Below are 17,816 nucleotides of genomic sequence, written 5' to 3' on the forward strand. Positions count from 1 at the left end.
TGTCCCTAGTACAGTACCAGGCACACAGTATATGCTTAACAAATGGCACTACTGCTACATGGAGATTCTAAGATAAGATATAAAAAGTGTGCTCTGATTAAATTCACAGTTATAACCACAATCAGGAAATTATAATTTTGATCTATAATATCCAGCATTGGTAACATAAAGATGATATTAAAAAGTTGCTCTTTCAGGTTCAGTCTAAACAAATACTTGCCTTTCAGAATATTGCCACAGAAGACTTTGCTCTCCTAATGATTTTGCTCATGGGGGCCAACCAAGGGTCCCCAAGTGAGTCACATATAAGAGTCCAAAATCACGATCAGAATGCCATATGGTGCTATTGTAAATGGCAGGTTGCTTTACAATGACATTGTACTGATTTACACTCCTACCAGCAGTGTATGAACATTCCTATTGTTCCATTTCCTTGGCAACACTTGGTATTATCTGTCTTTAACTTTAGCCATCATGGTGGATGAATAATGGAATACCACTGTGTTTTTAATTTACATTTTAGTTTACGTTTCACTCATTAGTAAGACTGATCATTTTTTCATATGTTTAATGGCTACTGAATTTCCTCTTTCGTTAAGTGTCTGTTCAAGTCTTTTGACCGTTCCTCTGTTCAGTTGTCTTTTTCTCATAGATTTGTAGAAATTCTTTATATAGTCTAGATATTATGCTTTTGTTAGTTATTAATATACGTGTTGCAGATATCTTCTTCTACTCTGTGGTTTGCCTTTTTGCTCTCTTTATGGTATCAATTGATGAACACAACTTATTAGTTTTAATTTAGTCAAATTTATCAGTCTTTTCTTTAATGGGAAGTATTTTTGATATCTTAAGAAATCCTCAGCCAGGTGCGATGGCTCACGCCTGTAATCCCAGCACTCTGGGAGGCTGAGGCGGGTGGATGACTTGAGCTCAGGAGTTCACACGAGCCTGGGCAACAGGGCGAAATCCCATCTCTACTGAAAATACAAAAAGTAGCTGGGTGTGGTGGCATGTGCCTGTAGTCCCAGCTACTCCGGATGCTGAGACAGGATAATTACTTGAGCCTGAGAGGTGGAGGTTGCAGTGATTTGAGATTATGCCAGTGCACTCTAGCCTGGGCAACCGAGCGAGACCTTGTCTAAAAAAAAAAAAAAAAAAAAAACAAAAATGAAATCCTTAGCAGGGGATTTCCCAACACTTTGGGAGGCCAAGGAGGGAGGCTCACTTGAGGCCAGGAGTTTGAGACCAGCCTGAGCAACATAACAAGACCCTATCTCTACAAAAAAAAACAAAAAACAAAAAACAAACAAAAAAAAATTAGCTGGGTGTGATTGGGTGTGATGTTACGTGCCTGTAGTCCCAGCTACTAGGAAGGCTGAAGCAGGAGGATGACTTGAGTCCAGCAGTTCCAGGCTGCAGTGAGCCAAGACTACACCACTGCACTCCAGCCTGGGAGACAGAGACCCTGACTTTAGAGAAATAAAAAATAAATAAAAATAAAAAGAAATCCTTCCTTGTCCCAGAAGATATTCTCCAATATTACCTTCTCAAAGTTTATAGTTTTGTCTTTTACATTTTGGGTATTAATGTACTAGTACTGCTGTTTTTTTTTTGTTTTTGAGACAGATTCTCCTTGTGATGCCCAGGCTGGAGTGCAGTGGTGCAATCTCGGCTCACTGTAACCTCTGCTTCCCAGGTTCAAGCAATTCTCATGCCTCAGCCTCCTGAGTAGCTGGGATTACAGGTGTGTGCCACCATGCCTGGCTAATTTTTGTATTTTTTTAGTAGAAATGGGGTTTCACCATGTCGGCCAGGCTGGTCTTGAACTCCTGCTTCGTGTGATCCACCTGCCTTGGTCTCCCAAAATGCTGGGATTACAGGCGTGAGCCACTGCGCCCGGCCTAGAACTGATTTTTGCTTATGGTGTAAAGGAGGGGTCCAATTCCTTTTTTCTTCCTAATGGATACCCAATTGTCCTACATTATTTAAAAGCCTGTCCATTCCTCATTGCTGTGCAGTGCTATTTCTGTCACACATCAAGTGTCCATTTACGTATGAGAGTGTTTTCAGGTTCTCTATTCCTTTCTGGTCTATTTGAGCATCTCTAAACCCATACCTTATTATCTTGTTTACTATAGCTTTATAATAAGTCTTGGTATCTGGTAGAGCAAGACCTCCTTCCTTGTTCTTCAAGAGCATTTTGGCTATTCCCGACCTTGTGCATTTCCATGTAGACTTTAAACTTAGCTTGTCAATTTCAAAACTGTTGGGATTGCATCTTATCTATGAAATCTATCTAGGAAGAATAGACATCCCTGCAATATTGAGTCTTCCAGTCCTTAAACACAGTATGTCTCTCCATTTACTTATATCTTTTTAAATGTCTCGAGATATAATTCCCCCCCCACCCCCGCCGAGACGAAGTCTTACTCTGTCACCCAGGCTGGAATGCGGTGGTGCAATCTTGGCTCACTGTCATCTTGACCTCCTGGGTGCAAGTGATCCTTCCGCCTCAGCTTCCTAAGTAGCGGACTACAGGTGCATGTCACCCATTTTTTTTTTCTTGAGACAGAGTGTCGCTCTGTTGCCCAGGCTGGAGTGTAATGGTGCGATCTCAGCTCACTGAAACCTCCGTCCTCCCAGGTTCAAGTGATTCTCCCTGCCTCAGCCTCCCAAGTAGCTGGGATTACGGGTGCCTGCCACCACGCCCAGCTAATTTTTTATATTTTTAGTAGAGATGGGGATTTGCCATGTTGGCCAGGCTGGTCTCAAACTCCTGACCTCAGGTGATCCGCCTGCCTTAGCCTCCCAAAGTGCTGAGATTACAGGTGTGAGCCACGGAGCCTGGCCTAATTTTTGTATTTTTGTAGAGACTGGACCTTGCTATGTTACCCAGGACAGTCTCAAACTTCTGGGCTCAAGTGATCCGCCTGCCTTGGCCTCCAAAAGTACTGGGATTACAGGCATGAGCCACTGTACCCGGTCTCAATAAATTTTATAATTTATTCTGTAAATGTCTTGACATCTTTGTTAGATTTATTCCTAGGTTATTTTATTTTTTAAGACAGAGTCTCTCTCTGTTGCCCAGGCTGTAGTGCAGTGGCACAATCTTGGCTCACTGCAACCTCCACCTTTCAGGATTGACATATTCTCATGCCTCAGCCTCTTGAGTAGCTGGGACTACAGGTGTGCGCCACTACACCCAGCTAATTTTTGTATTTTTTTTTCCTTTTAGTAGAGACGGGGTTTTGCCATGTTGGCCAGGCTGGTCTTGAACTCCTGGCCTCAAGTGATCCGCCCACCTCGGCCTCCCAAAGTGCAGGGATTACAGGCATGAGTCACCACGCCTGGTCATTTTTTAATAAAGGCTTTGTAAATGGTATTTTAAGAAACACTTTGTAACACTAAAACTTTCAAACACATACAAGGATATAGTGTAATGAAACCCAGCTATCTACAACCCTGCTTTGACAATTATTAGTCATAGCTTATTTTATTTTTTTATTATTTATTTATTTATTTTTGAGACAGAGTCTCACTCTGTTGCCCAGGCTGGAGTGCAGTGGCACGATCTCGGCTCACTGCAACCTCCGCCTCCCGGGTTCCAGCGATTCTCCTGTCTTGGCCTTCCAAGTAGCTGTGATTACAGGCACCCGCCACCACGCTCAGCTAATTTTTTTTGTATTTTTAGTAGAGATGGGGTTTTGCCACGTTGGCCAGGCTGGTCTCGAACTCCTGACCTCAGGTGATCCGCCCGTCTCGTCCTCCCAAAGTGCTGGGATTACAAGTGTGAGCCACTGCGCCTGGCTTTATTTATACCACCTTATCATAGATTATTTTGGAACAAATCCAAGAGTACAGTTTTCTTCTGAAATCCCTTTAAAATCTATAGGTTCCCTCTCCCTCCTTTTTCTTTTCTTACAATTTGTTTGTTGTAGAAACTAGTTTGTCCTTTAGTTTCTGTAGAGTCTGGATTTTTCTGACTGTGTCCCTGTGGTATCTTTAGTATGTCTCTCTGTCCTTTGTATTTCCTGCAAATAGGTAATAAAACCTAGAGGCCTAATCAGATCCAGTTTTGTTTTGTGTGTGTGCAAGAACACTTTATAATATTATGGTGTTGCAAGTGGTGTTATGTATGGTACCCTTTAAAAGTTTTATTTTCTGCTTGTGGCTTGTAAATAGAATTGATTTTCGTATATTGATTTTTTTTTTTTTTGAGATGGAGTCTTGCTCTGTCGCCCAGGCTGGAGGGCAGTGGCGCGATCTTGGCTCACTGCAAGCTCCACCTCCCGGGTCCAAGCCATTCTCCTGCCTCAGCCTCCCAAGTAGCTGGGACTACAGGCGCCCACCACCAGGCCCGGCTAATTTTTTTGTATTTTTAGTAGAGACGGGGTTTCACCGTGTTAGTCAGGATGGTCTCGATCTCCTGACCTCATGATCCGCCTGCCTCGGCCTCCCAAAGTGCTGGGATTACAGGCGTGAGCCACCACGCCCAGTCCCTTGTATATTGATTTTATATCAGCAACCTTTCTAAACCTTGCTACTAATTCTAATTGTCTACAGATTCCTTTGAATTCTACACACAGAATCATATCATCTGCAAATTTTTTCCCTTTCTAGTAATGTTAGTTGTAGGTTTACTATACATGTCCTTTATCAGGTTAAGTTCCCCTCAATTCATAGTTTATGAGACTTTTAATCTGATTGGGTTTTGAATTTTACCAAATGCTTTTTCTGCATCTATTGATATGACTATGTGGATTTTCTTCTTCAGTCTGTTAATCTAGTGGATCGGCTGATTGGTTTTCAAATGCTGAACCAGCTATGCATTCCCAGTACAAATTCCACTGGCTCATAATATATTATCTTTTTAATATATTACTGGATTCAATTTGCTAATATTTTGCTGAGGATTTTTACTTCTGTGTTCATGACAGATACTGGTATGTAGTTTTCTTTTCTTGAACTGCCTTTACTGAATTTTGGTATCAGGGTAATGTTGACATCATAAAATGATTTGGGAAGTATTATTTTCTATTTTCTTAAAGAGGCTGTCTTCCATATCTCTTACTCGCTCTTGTTCACTGAAGTTTTTATGTATTTATTTTTGGTTGGGGGAAAGACATTTATTGGAAAATACTGCGAACTCTCAGTAATAGTATCAAAGTCCATCTCCATATATTACCCACGTGGCATACAGAGGAGGCTGATAAAGGCTTGCTTTGGGGATTCTTTTGGTGCAAGTCAATATGTGCTATTAGTCAGAACTAAAAGGCATAGAATCTTTGGAAACAAACAGAATTGAGGAATTTTTTGACAGGTTAAGAGACAAAATCGTGTGACCTTGTGAAGCTTATGTTACAATGTAGAGAGTATCTTATAATAAATGTTCTTAAGCTTAAAACAAAAATACAGGTTCCCAGGAAAAAATTGTGGCATAGTCTCATGTGGTGTGATGACAGAGGAATGAAATTGATTTTTACCAGACACTGCAGAAATAAACATTAGCTCTTTTAGCTCAGTAAGTGCACAGAAACCGTGTTAGGGTTAAGGTCAACCTGGAAGGAAATTTCAAACACATGCCTACCAATTTATTGATGGCTTAGATCAGGATCTTGTAGGCAAGGCAAGGGGAGGGATGACAGAGTCCGGGAGCTAAAATATATTGAAGGGCTAAATTGATGTGCCTAGAGTAAGGCATTTGGGTCCGAAAAAACTGATTTCTCATCTAGAAAATGTGAAGAATGTGACTTGGTAGCAATATATTTGATCAAAGTTTTGGGGGTCTGGCTGATACAATTGTTTCAAATCTTTCTTGTTAGTATTGGATGCCCACTGACATCCCAGAGGCCAATTCAGTTTCCAAGCAAAGGAAAATTGATCTTTCTCTTCTGCCAGGAATAGCTTCCTATACCCCCAAAGTCCTATTCAGGTCTTGGGGTACACACTGCCCAGTGGGCCTCTTTCTTATCATCTCAGTTAGAATCCTTTTCTCCCTCTATATATTTTGCAACTTTAACAGTTCAGTTTTTTGGCAATATATTGAACATATTTAAAGTATACAAATTTATCAGTTTTGATATCTGTAAACATCCCATGAAACTATCACTACAATCAAGAAAAACATATTCTTAGCCAGGTGTGGTAGCTCACACAGGTAATCCCAACACTTTAGGAGGTTGAGGCGGGCAGATCACCTGAGGTCAGGAGTTCGAGACCAGCCTGGCCAACATAGTGAGATCTCATCTCTATCGAAAATTTAAAAATTAGTTGGGCGTGGTGGCGGGCGCCTGTAATCCCAGCTACTTGGGAGGCTGAGATAGGGGGATTGCTTGAATCCAGGAGTTCCAGGCTGCAAGGAGCCAAGATTGCACCACGGCACTCCAGCCTGGGAGACAGAGAGGGACCTTGACTTTAGAAGAATAAAAATAAAAAATAAAAAATAAAAATGGCTGGGTGCTGCGGTGGCTCACACCTGTAATCCTAGCACTTTGGGAGGCTGAGGCAGGCAGATCACTTGAGGTCAGGAGCTTGAGACCAGCCTGGCCAACCTGGTGAAACCCTGTCTCTACTAAAAACACAAAAAATTAGCCAGGCGTGGTGGCAGGCGCCTGTAATCCCAGCTACTCGGGAGGCTGAGGCAGGAGGATCACTTGAACCGGGGAGGCAGAGGTTGCAGTGAGCTGAGATTGCGCCACTGCACTCCAGCCTGGGTGACAGGGCGAGACTCCGTCTCCAAAAAAAGAAAAACATATTCATTACCTCCAGAATTTCCTCATGCCCCTCTGTAATTCCTCCCTCCCTCCACCCCCATCTTGCATTTTCCAGAAGTTTATGTAAATGGAATCATATAGCGTGTTCTCTTTTTTGCCTGGCTTCTTTCACTCAGCATAATGATCTTGTGTTTCATCCATACTGCTGCATATATCAATAGTTTGATCCTTTTTATTGCTGAGTGGCATTCCATTGTATGGCTATATCACAATTTATTGATCTATTTACCCACTGATGAAACTTCAAAAAAATGTTAGCCATTCTAATAGGTGTGACCACTGAGATTCTAATTTTGTTACTGCATGTTTCCCCCTGGATGTTCCTCTGGTTCTTTTTAAAATCTGCTATGTCATTAACATTTTTTTTCTGCTCTCTGAAGATATTTTACAAGCTTATTATTGATTTTTAAAAACCTGGGCTAGGCGTGGTAGCTCACACTTGTAATCCCAGCACTTTGGGAGGCTAAGGTGGAAGGATCACTTGAGCCTAGGAGTTGGAGATCAGCCTGGGCAACATAGTGAGACCTCATCTCTACAAAAAAAAAAAAAAGAAAAAGAAAAAAATTAGCTGGGTGTGGTGGTGCACGCCTGTTGTCCCAGCTACTGGGAAGGCTGAGGTGGGTGGATTGCTTGGGTCCAGGAGGTCGAGGCTGCAGTGAGCCATGATCATGCCATTGCACTCCAGCCTGGGCGAGAGCACAATACCTTGTCTCAAAAACAAACGAACCAACTTCGTAAGCTTATTTTTAAAATCTTTGTCTCTTAATTCCAATATATGCAGTAGGTTTGGGTTTGTTTCTACTATCTGTCATTTCTGTTGGGTCTTACTTGTTTCCTTGTGTGCCTGATAATTTTGACTTGCTGGCTACTGCCCTGGAAAAAGTTTATGTCGGGCGGATAGGATGAAGTTAGTGGGGGTTAGGATAAAAGTGTTTGCCTTCAGAGACTTTCTGTTTATACCATACATCTGAAACTATTAGTAAAGAAAGGGGAAACTTCAAATCAAGTACATGGCTTCAGCTCCCCTGGCTGCCCCAGGCTGTGTGTACCTGGGTGCAAATCCATTCAAGGTGGACTGGTGGCCACAATTTGGAAGTTTGTTCCCAATTTCCTCATCTTTTGCTTTGCTCAGTGACAAGGCAGCTTTCTCTATAGTCCTCCGGTGTTGAAGGGAAATAAGGGTATGCTTATCTGTTTCCTTTTAGCCTGGGGGGACTGCCTCTTGCACTCCTAACAATGAGGAGGGTCTTCTAACAGATTCCCCAACTTGTACTGGCCTTAGATCTTAACCTTGGTTCTCTGGCACAGAAGTGTTCAGTAATGACAAATGCCCTGTTTGCAAAATGGGCCACTTGGTAACTCTGATATTCCACTTATCATTCTTATTAAAGGCTTTCACATAAAAATTGGTCACTGAGGCCTGGTGTGGTGGCTCACACCTGTAATCCCAGCACTTTGGGAGGCCAAAGTGGGTGGATCACGAGGTCAGGAGTTCACGACCAGCCTGGCCAACATGGTGAAACCCTGTCTCTACTAAAAATATGTGGTGGCGGGTGCCTGTAATCCCAGCTACTCAGGAGGCTGAGGCAGGAGAATTGTTTGAACCCAGGAGGTAGAGGTTGCAGTGACCTGAGATCATGCCATTGCACTGCAGCCTGGGCCACAGGGCGAGACTCCGTCTCAAAAAAAAAAAAAAAAAAAAAAAAAATTGGTCACTGAGCTCCCCAGTACCTTTTTTTATTTCCCGGACACAGAGTCTCACTCTGTCGTCCAGGCTAGAGTGCAGTGGCGCGATCACGGCTCACTGCAACTTCCACTTCTCGGGCTCAAGCAATTCTCCTGCCTCAGCCTCCCAAGTAGCTGGGATTATAGGTGCCTGCCATCACACCTGGCTAATTTTTTTTTTTTTTTTTATTTCAAGTAGAGACAGGGTTTTACCATGTTGGTCAGGCTAGCTTCGAACTCCTGACCTCAAGTGATCTGCCCACCTCGGCGTCCCAGAGTGCTAGGATTACAGGTGTGAGCCACCATGCCTGGCCCCTGATACCTTTTCAGCTATTCAGTGCTTTCAAGGTCATTTGAAAAACATATTTTCTGCGGCACTTTTCATTTTTTTTCATCAGGAGGATTTATCCAAATAATCTCATCCACCATTACAGGAAATAGGAAGCAAATCTGCTTTTTGCACTGCCATCACTCAGGATTCCTCCAGAGGACTCAGAGTTCTAGAAATTGGTGAAACATTTATATAGATGATCTGACTAGGCAGAAGAGGTCTGGAATCTACACAATTATTTTCAATAAATGCCCATAATATATGGTAACATTAAAGAAGACATTCTGTAAAATGTAAATATCAGTAAGAATATAATGGCATCATCACGGCAACGACTTAAAGATTGCTTTCCTCCTGCTTATGCTTGAACTGTTTCTCGAAGATCAGACTGAAAGACAATGCCAGATGGAAGGCTGCTGCTTCTCCATTTGGGCCCACGTTTCCTTATGTATAAAATGATGGCATCTGAAGTCCTCATCAGCTCCAACATTCTAAATTTAATACTATTTTTTGGGGAAACATGGGATAGCTGAAAGAGGCGATCAAGCAAAAGAGATTAACTGAGAAATCTCTTAACTAGTGAGAAAAATAGATAAAAGCAGGTAGAAATTTCTATGGACTCAATGTCTTTGGTCTCTTTTAGCTGGGTTCAAGTATTTTAGGAGGAACTGGCAGGATGCTTAATGGCTGTTATTTTTTGCCACATGAAACAAAACTCAGACATTATCTCTTTTGTGCTAGAAATAATCTGGTATATTGCCCAAGTACCAACAAAGGTAAAACCATCAATATTTTCCAAAAGACAGTTCAACTAAGGAAACGGTAACAATAATAGCAGAAATAGATTTTATCAAAATATACAGTGATCTGTGACTCCTTTTCTCTCAGTTAAAAACAGTGCCTAAAACCCCTAACTTTAGCCTGCTTTTAGGGCTTAAACTTTCTAGCAGAAAAGGTATTTTTAAAGGACTGGCAAGGTAAAGAACAAAGCTTCTGACTACCTCCTTCTAACAGTGAAATACATTTTATCTTCAAATACTCTGAGTGACACTGAAGCACTGCACCTACATTTTTTGCTGGTGGTGGGAATGGGATGGGCATGAAAGCATGTAGAAGGGCAAGGAGAACGTACATTTTTTTAATGCCATTCTAAAACAATTATAACAGCATATAGGAGTGGAGGGCTCTGCTGTGAGACCATGACTTGGCTCAGGGCTGCTCATCCAATCTCTTTCCAGACCTTCCTTTCTTTTTGTGTAAAATGAAGCCCTGACTCTGCAACTAGGATCTCACTAGATACTGAAGATATAGAATTCTTGGATGACTAATTTAAATTTTGTTTGGCTCGTAAAGGAAGGAATATATCAAACAGGTTTTACACTCTAAAATAATATAAAATTGGAAAATGGATGGTCAGGGCTTTGTTTTTATAACCAAGCAAAGCAAAACACGCATAAAAACATACCATTCCTGAAGTTCAGGAGAAGGAATGAGACCTGCAGTTCCATTTTTGGAGTTTTCCAGTTTACCCTGCCACCAATTATGATCATCCTTACTAATAATCTGGATGATGTCACCAACTCTGAATCGAATGCCAGCTTCTTTACAGGGGATGAGGTCATCCTTGGCTGGATCATATTCAAATTGTGCTCTTACATAGATCTATAAAACAGGAGTTCGTAAGAAAGGATGCCATAGTGATGTGAAAGAGAAGTTAGCTCTAATGTCATAACCACACACCAACAGTTACAATACAAACAGGACATCAGATGGTGAAAGCAAAAACGATGCATGGAAATACGACACAAAAAACTTCTACCGCTAGAAACAATGTACTAGTAATCTTTGATGAGTATAGCTTCAAAACTTTGCTGTTTTTATTTGGAAGGAACACTTGAAATACTTGTTTAATAAAAATAAAGACTTAATTTATGCTTTTACTGTAACAGAATAGGCCTCTAATTATAGAAAAGTATGCTCGCTCTTTTTTAAACCTGCATTGGTGATGCTGGCATTATGGATACGTTGTCATGACTGCGTGGCAGCCTTTAAGCCATAAATACTAGCAGTCAGGATAGGTTTTAACCCTAAAGCAGCACACGATATAAAATTAGCAAGAACTCTGGGTTGGTATCTTGCTGTAGAATGCTTATATGACAACTGGCAGTGTGTCTACACATTGCTGATAAAGTTAAGTGTAACTCAAACAATTTTTTAAAAGTTAAAAAAAGCTTCATTTTTTTCTAATTTAGGTTTTAGGTTTGTATTTTACTCTTCTGAGAGAATAAAAATGAATTTGAACCCTAGCTTCCCCCAATGTAACACTTGAAATCAGCACAGAGCTTCAAGACATGCATAGTTCAAGGCTCTGAGTTTTATGATATGTGAGTTTACTTAGGAAATAGATTAGCATTCAAGGGTTTATTATATGGCAGCATTTTATGAATTATTTTATTTTTTAAATGCTTTAAGATAAGGTAATTCATACCCAATGTTCCATCAATTATACAGTCTTAAGACAAAATTATGGGTGAATTCTATCAGGTACTAATTTATACATATCTTAACACTAAATCTGATTATTTTTAATACCATATTTCAAGATAAAAATCCCATAAAAATTCTATCTCTTGAAATTAAAATTGAATATTAATGTTTAAGTCACTGTAAAACCAACCTGAAGACTTTGGAACCACTGTGTGATTTTTCTGTTTATTTTCAGCAATCCAGCCTATAAAATTACAAGTCTCTGCATTTGCATTTAAAATCTATACCTCTAAAGTGCTGGCAATTTGAAAGTTACTTGCCAGTGTTAGGCAGCACTTAACTTTTCATGTTTGAACTAACACAGGTATATCAGGATGTGAAGCTAAGATAATTTATATTCTTTTCTTATTTTTCATTGCAAATGGCTTTTAGAAATACACATGCAAATACAAATTTAAGAAAAAGCTTTCAACTTCAGAAAATTTTTGCTTAAAAATGTTCATCAGCATTTTAAGAATAACTTTTTAGTTAGTCTTAGAATTCTAAGAATTTTATAACCTTTAAAATTCTTTTGCATGCCAGAGGCAGGCCCACAGCCACCCCCAAAGGCTGAATTCTTAACCATTAATATAAAATTATCAGGTTGAAATTACAATAACCATTACAGCTACAAAGATGTGAGGAAAAATTCTTTATAGAGAATTAGTCATGTGTAATGTGTTAAAATGAAATGGTACAAGCTCTCAATGCTCAAATGTTATGGTCCAAAATGCAAACATTATGGGATGGAAAGGGTTAATAAAGGATTGGCTATTAGCTGCTCAGTTTAGAGAAGTTTCTATAGAGGATATCTATTCACCTGTCGTCCTTTTGGTTGGGTAGTTGATGGCAAGTCCTGTAGAATAAAGCCAACCCAGGAGAAAAATTTTCATTTATTTTTCAAGAGTACAAAGTAATTTGTGTGTTCTGTTACAATATGGTTAAAAAAATGAGCTAGATTTAAGTTGTAAAGAGATAATATACATTATTCCATTTATCAGAAATGTTGAGTTATCAAAAAGTCAAACCCAGGCCATTTAGCAGCAAGCTGAAGAAAGCAGGTAAGTTTAAGCAGAGAGAAAATGTGTTCTTAAGAAACAACTCAGCATCTTCAACACAAAAGCCACTGCAAGTGAAACAGCCTATTAAAAAAAAAAAATAAATAAAAGGAGCTGTTGCCCTTTTCAACTTAGTCACTGCAACCATTTAGATTTTGAAAAATTCAATGGCTATATGGCTTTTCATCATCTTAAAAGTATTAAATGTTAACTGTTATGAATGAATTCCTTTGGTAGCCTATTTTAAAGTTGAAAATAAAGTCATAGACAATTTTCTTTCATAATTTCTCTTACGATATACTTAGAATATCATTCCATTTGAGATAATTTCTAAATTATTTACAATTTTACCTGATAAAAAAGTTGATATATTCTCAAAGGGCAAATTAAAAGTCAGGAAAGAAGAATACTGCTGCATTATTAGAACTCTCAATAATTTTAACTGGGTCATAAACAGCAGTATTAGCAACCAAAATATTGCCAGTCTGCACCTGTTAAGTGCTTCCATTTGTTTAAATAAGTTAAAAACAATTCTTTCTATATTCCAAAATGGATAGTTCTGAAAAAATTTAAAACTCCAAGTTCAAGTCAAATATAAAGTACTTTGTGTTAAAGATGTGATAACAGCGTGGCTTAAGTGCAGTTTGAAGCCAGTTCTTTTTGCTTTTCATATCCAGGCAAGGCTTATAATTCACAAAAATATGTGCACGTACCACAATAACAGAGGGCACACCAATTCGTAAACTTAGATAGCGGAAACTAAAACATGTTGCTGATATCACTCAGAATAGAAAACTACAAAGCCCAAGAATACCCAAATGCCTACTCTGCAAAATTCTTACATTTATCTTTTTCAAATTAAAAAATATTTAGAAGTTTAAACAAATTTCCGTTTACATCCTTTGCATAGGTTTGAGCAAAGTCATACATACAAATGGGGTGGCATAGAAATATTTTTAGAATGACCAAAGCAGTCTTGAACTATATTTCTTCAAATTTAACTATTGAAGGGGATTTTTAATGAGAAGGAAATGTTGAAAAAGATTTTCCAGGAGTAAAGTGCATTGTAGCTGTAGTAGCCTTGTATATCAGCAGAAGACACTATTTCCACTGAACACATGTAACTAGAACACTCATGGCAGGTGAGCACCAACAAAATTGTCACACTTTGCTGTGTGGAGCTAAAGTTCTTACCGAAACAGAATTGTTAGTGCTGCTATGACCATTAGCTGGGGACTGTCTGGAAGTGGAAGGGGAATCTCTCTGAAATAAGACACAAGGTTCATTAACACAGAACACCAGCACAGAAACACAGAGATATTTACATCAACAGTAACAACCACAGTCTGACAACCATTTCCTTTGAGGTTTGAGCTGTATAGGTGCCATACTGACTTGCTTGCATGATTTCACAGAAGTATGAAAAAAATTTTGCAGTTCGAAGGCTCACATATTTTAAGTGATGACTGTGTCATTCATTAATCAATTCTTTCCTATCTCTAACATTCTATACCTTTTCTTTCTTTTAATGAGACCCAGAAGAGTGACTTGATATTAAAACCCTATCAAGTATAAGATGACAAACATTACCATAAATTATCGTGCTGAAGATCCCAACTGCCTAATTTTTATTAAAGATTAGGTTTGAAAAGTATTTAATAATTTTTAGTACCTGTGTCAAGAGTTACTAACTGACCCAATCTGAAGAGAAACAAACCTAAGATTTCACATGTTACAATCACCTCAGAATCTTTCTATTATAGAATAAATATTATTACTAGTAAGGGTAAAAGAGATATACATCAGAGAAGAACTCTTTTTTTAAGACTATTTTAGCAGATTGATTAAAACAATAATCTCAAGCCTATAACAATATTACACTTCCAGCAAAGATCCTAGGAGCCACAGCCACTCTTCCTATATCCAGGCTCCTCTATCGCTTGCTTTCTCTCTACTATTCTATACACTCAAAATATTTTCCAGGCTCCATTCCCTTAGTGTCCAAATCAACTTTAACGATAAGAACAAGGAGAGGAAGGAAATAAGTACTTTTTAATTTTTGCTTCTGTAGAGTTCTTTTAAGCCTTAGAAATGTGCATGTCTTTTTAAAAGACATTTTTTTTCCCCAGATGACTTAAGAGCATTTCTAGAACCTGTCAGCCTTAAAGGTAATGAGATCCCTTAGAAGAGCATTCTCATATGTTAGTGAGCAAGACTGATCTCCAGGTGCCACCCGCAGAGACTCAAGTCAGTAGAGCCAGGGTGAGGGGCAGGGGTCTACTCTTTAACCAAGGACCTGGGGGATGCAGATGCAGGTGGCCAGAGAGCCTTCTTTTTTTTTTTTTGAAGTATTGCCCTAGCTGGGAAGAGTCCAACCACAAGCTTGAATTCTGCCAGGGAACAGGAGGGCCAAAAAGGCTGGAGGTGGAGCTAGGAGAGAAGTATCATTATTTTTTCTACTATTCAAAGGCAAAGAAGGTAAGAGGGGTTCTTCTTACTCAAGAACATAGAATTTACATCTATGATACTGGTTCCACCCCAAACTAGTTCGACCATTTAAAAAAAAAAAGAGAAACTTATGTTGTATTAATAACTAACAGTACCTTCTGGTTAGTTAGCCAAAAAGACAAAAGTCAATTGTATTTACTAAATTTCTTCAACAGATGAGAAATGATATAAGGACATCTGTAACTCTGGAATATTAAAATTATTTACATAGAATGTTAAGTGTGACATTCTTTGTTTCCCAGCAAAGTTTGTGTTCTAGGTAACAAATTTCAATACTCTGAATCCTGGAACAGAAGCAATTCTGCATTTTCTTTTGAAATATACTATTAATTGAAGTTCCATAAAAAGCCACCAAGAGGAGCTCAAGACCCGTTACAACGGACACCTCAATTGCCATGGCTCACCAAAAATATACTTGACAAAACTATACATTTTAATATGTATCTTCAATAGGCTTTTAAAAAATATGAAGCCTCTGATTTTTCTTATGAAATTTACACCATCACTAGAGACTAGAAGTATTACAATTCTCTCTCAGGTTCTCCTAAGTACAAATCCAATAAGTTACCTGTCAGTCTTAAAAATAAACTTTAGGAAGTGTGTACTTCATATTGATGCACATACTCTCGGAAGATGCACATGAAAGAACAAGCTTCAATAAATAACACTCGAGCTGAACGTGCAATGACCAAAGGATGATATCATTTATGCCCATTTATATTTCCAATACAAAAAGAATAGATTTTTGAATCTCATTTAACAACCAACACAAAACTGAATAATATAGGTTGGAAGAACTATAATTTCTACAGGATAAGCCTATTTTAAGAAAGAAACTTTGGGGCTGTATTACTCTAGAAAACTTACTTGTTTACAGATCACATACCATTCTAAATTTAAACAGTTTTACAAAAGGTTGCAAAAGCCTATTTCCCTCTAGTGAAGTCAATTATCAATTCATTGCAGACTTAACTTCCATCTAGAGACCTGTCACAATTGTATGAACAACTGTATCTCAACAGAAATAGATCACTTCTCAGATCCTTAGAAAGAAGAACTATCTATGTGATTTCTTAACAAGGGAAGTGAATGAACTTCCTGGAAATATTACTGCAATTATGGCCTTTAGTTTTTTTCCCTCAGACACTCCGTTTTTTCCTTATTAAGCCTTATGTCATCATTTGTAACTTCTCTACATTTTGCTCAGATTTCAGCCTGCAAAAAGTTCAAAGTGCTGAGGAGATCCACATGGAAGCAGGGCTGAGTAGGTGGATGGGACCTACTCTGTTCCGTTATCTTTGTTGTAAAATTGGTGTGCAGTGATCTAACAGCACAGGCAGAAACAATTTCCCAGAAAGCAAAAACATACAGCCATCAGCAGACAGTTAGTTAAGAACTCAGAGCAGATGGGGGTGGTTTGTTAGAGTCATTACCTCACAGGACGAAGACTGAGTGCGGTAACTTGGCACAATCTTGAAGGTAATACTCCCCCGCATTTCCCTCTGGAGGGGGGGTGGTGGGAAAGAAAGAAAAGTTTTCTTACAAACAATTGTTCACAAAACCATGTAAGAAGCCACTCAAAACACATGGGGGCAATTAGCACAAGCCATCTGAGAGCACATAGCCGGAAAATGAAATGTAGTCATGAAGCAGGGACTGCTCGAGTTAACAGTAGAGTAAGTTCCTGGGAAAAGCCCAGCAGCCAATTGCCTTTTGCTCATACAGCAATGGTCTCACAGATCTTCAATGGTCACCTTTTTATAGATGTGAATACAAAACTTTCTAAGTGACATGCCTTTCAAAAGTGAATATACATTGAATTAGACAATAGACTAGGTAATTACATAAAAATTACATTGAGTATGCCACATTATAATGGTGTACCCCATAGAATATGCTTTTTACTTTTAAAAATTTTTTATTTATTTATTTTTTTGAGACAGAGTCTCGCTCTGTCATCCAGGCTGCAGTGCAGTGGCACCATCTCGGCTCACTGCAAACTCTGCCTTCCAGGTTCCAGTGATTCTCCTGCCTCAGCCTCCCGGGTAGCTGGGATTATAGGCACGCGCCACCATGCCTTGCTAATGTTTGTATTTTTAGTAGAGACGGGGTTTCACCATGTTGGCCAGGCTGGTCTCAAACTCCCGACTTCAGGTGATTCACCCACCTTGGCCTCCCAAAGTGCTGGGATTACAGGCATGAGCCACCGCACCCAGCCACTTTTTGCTTATTAATTTTGGCTTTTTTTTAAAAAAAAATTTTGGGCTGGGAGTGGTGGCTCACACCTGTCATCCCGGTACTTTGGGAGGCCAAGGCTGGTGGATCACCTGAGGTCGGGAGTTCGAGACCAGCCTGGCCAACATGGAGAAACCCCGTCTCTACTAAAAATGCAAACATTAGCAGGGTGTGGTAGCGCATGCCTGTAATCCCAGCTACTTGGGAGGCTGAGGCAGGAGAATCCCTTGAACTCGGGGGGCAGAGGTTGCAGTGAGCTGAGATCACGCCATTGCACTCCAGCCTGGGCAACAAGAGCAAAACTCCGTCTCAAAAAAAAGAAAAAAAAATGTTTGGTGAGTCTGTGAAGCTTATTTCATACTTAATAGGTATTCATAACCTGGGTGCTACTACACTGCAGTGGGAAAAGGGATCAGAGGCCCCAAACACCTCTGTCTGCTTGCTATGACAATGAACATAGGCAAAGGCTGTCATTTTGCCTTTTTAAAAAATCCAAAGCCTAATTTGAATACAGATTTTGGATATGTATGGTCAAAAATGGCCTGGTCTACCGTGGCTTTCCTCCCTTCTATGCTGTAGAGAAATCCACGACAGCTGGCTATGACTCAGCTCAACAGGAAAGAGGTTTCTGACACTGCTGATGTCAGGAGAGTTGAGGTC

General features: G+C 39.5%; 1 protein-coding gene across 12 annotated transcripts in view; it reads right to left on the minus strand.

Moving 5' to 3' along the window:
* Nucleotides 1–17,816, minus strand: part of CASK (calcium/calmodulin dependent serine protein kinase) — a 408,621-nt gene that overhangs the window by 28,491 nt on the left and 362,314 nt on the right. For 5 of the 12 annotated variants that reach the window (NM_001410745.1, NM_003688.4, NM_001367721.1 and 2 more), the window contains 4 exons: nt 16,355–16,423; nt 13,608–13,676; nt 12,176–12,211; nt 10,295–10,491 (listed from right to left, as the gene is read on the minus strand). In NM_001410745.1, coding sequence (NP_001397674.1) covers nt 10,295–10,491; nt 12,176–12,211; nt 13,608–13,676; nt 16,355–16,423 — 371 coding nt within the window. The remainder of the gene's footprint in view (nt 1–10,294; nt 10,492–12,175; nt 12,212–13,607; nt 13,677–16,354; nt 16,424–17,816) is intronic. The other 7 variants (NM_001126055.3, NM_001126054.3, XM_011543995.3 and 4 more) reach the window with 3 other exon arrangements.

Source organism: Homo sapiens, chromosome X (genome assembly GCF_000001405.40).
Source record: "Homo sapiens chromosome X, GRCh38.p14 Primary Assembly".
Classification (NCBI taxonomy): Eukaryota; Metazoa; Chordata; class Mammalia; order Primates; family Hominidae; genus Homo; species Homo sapiens.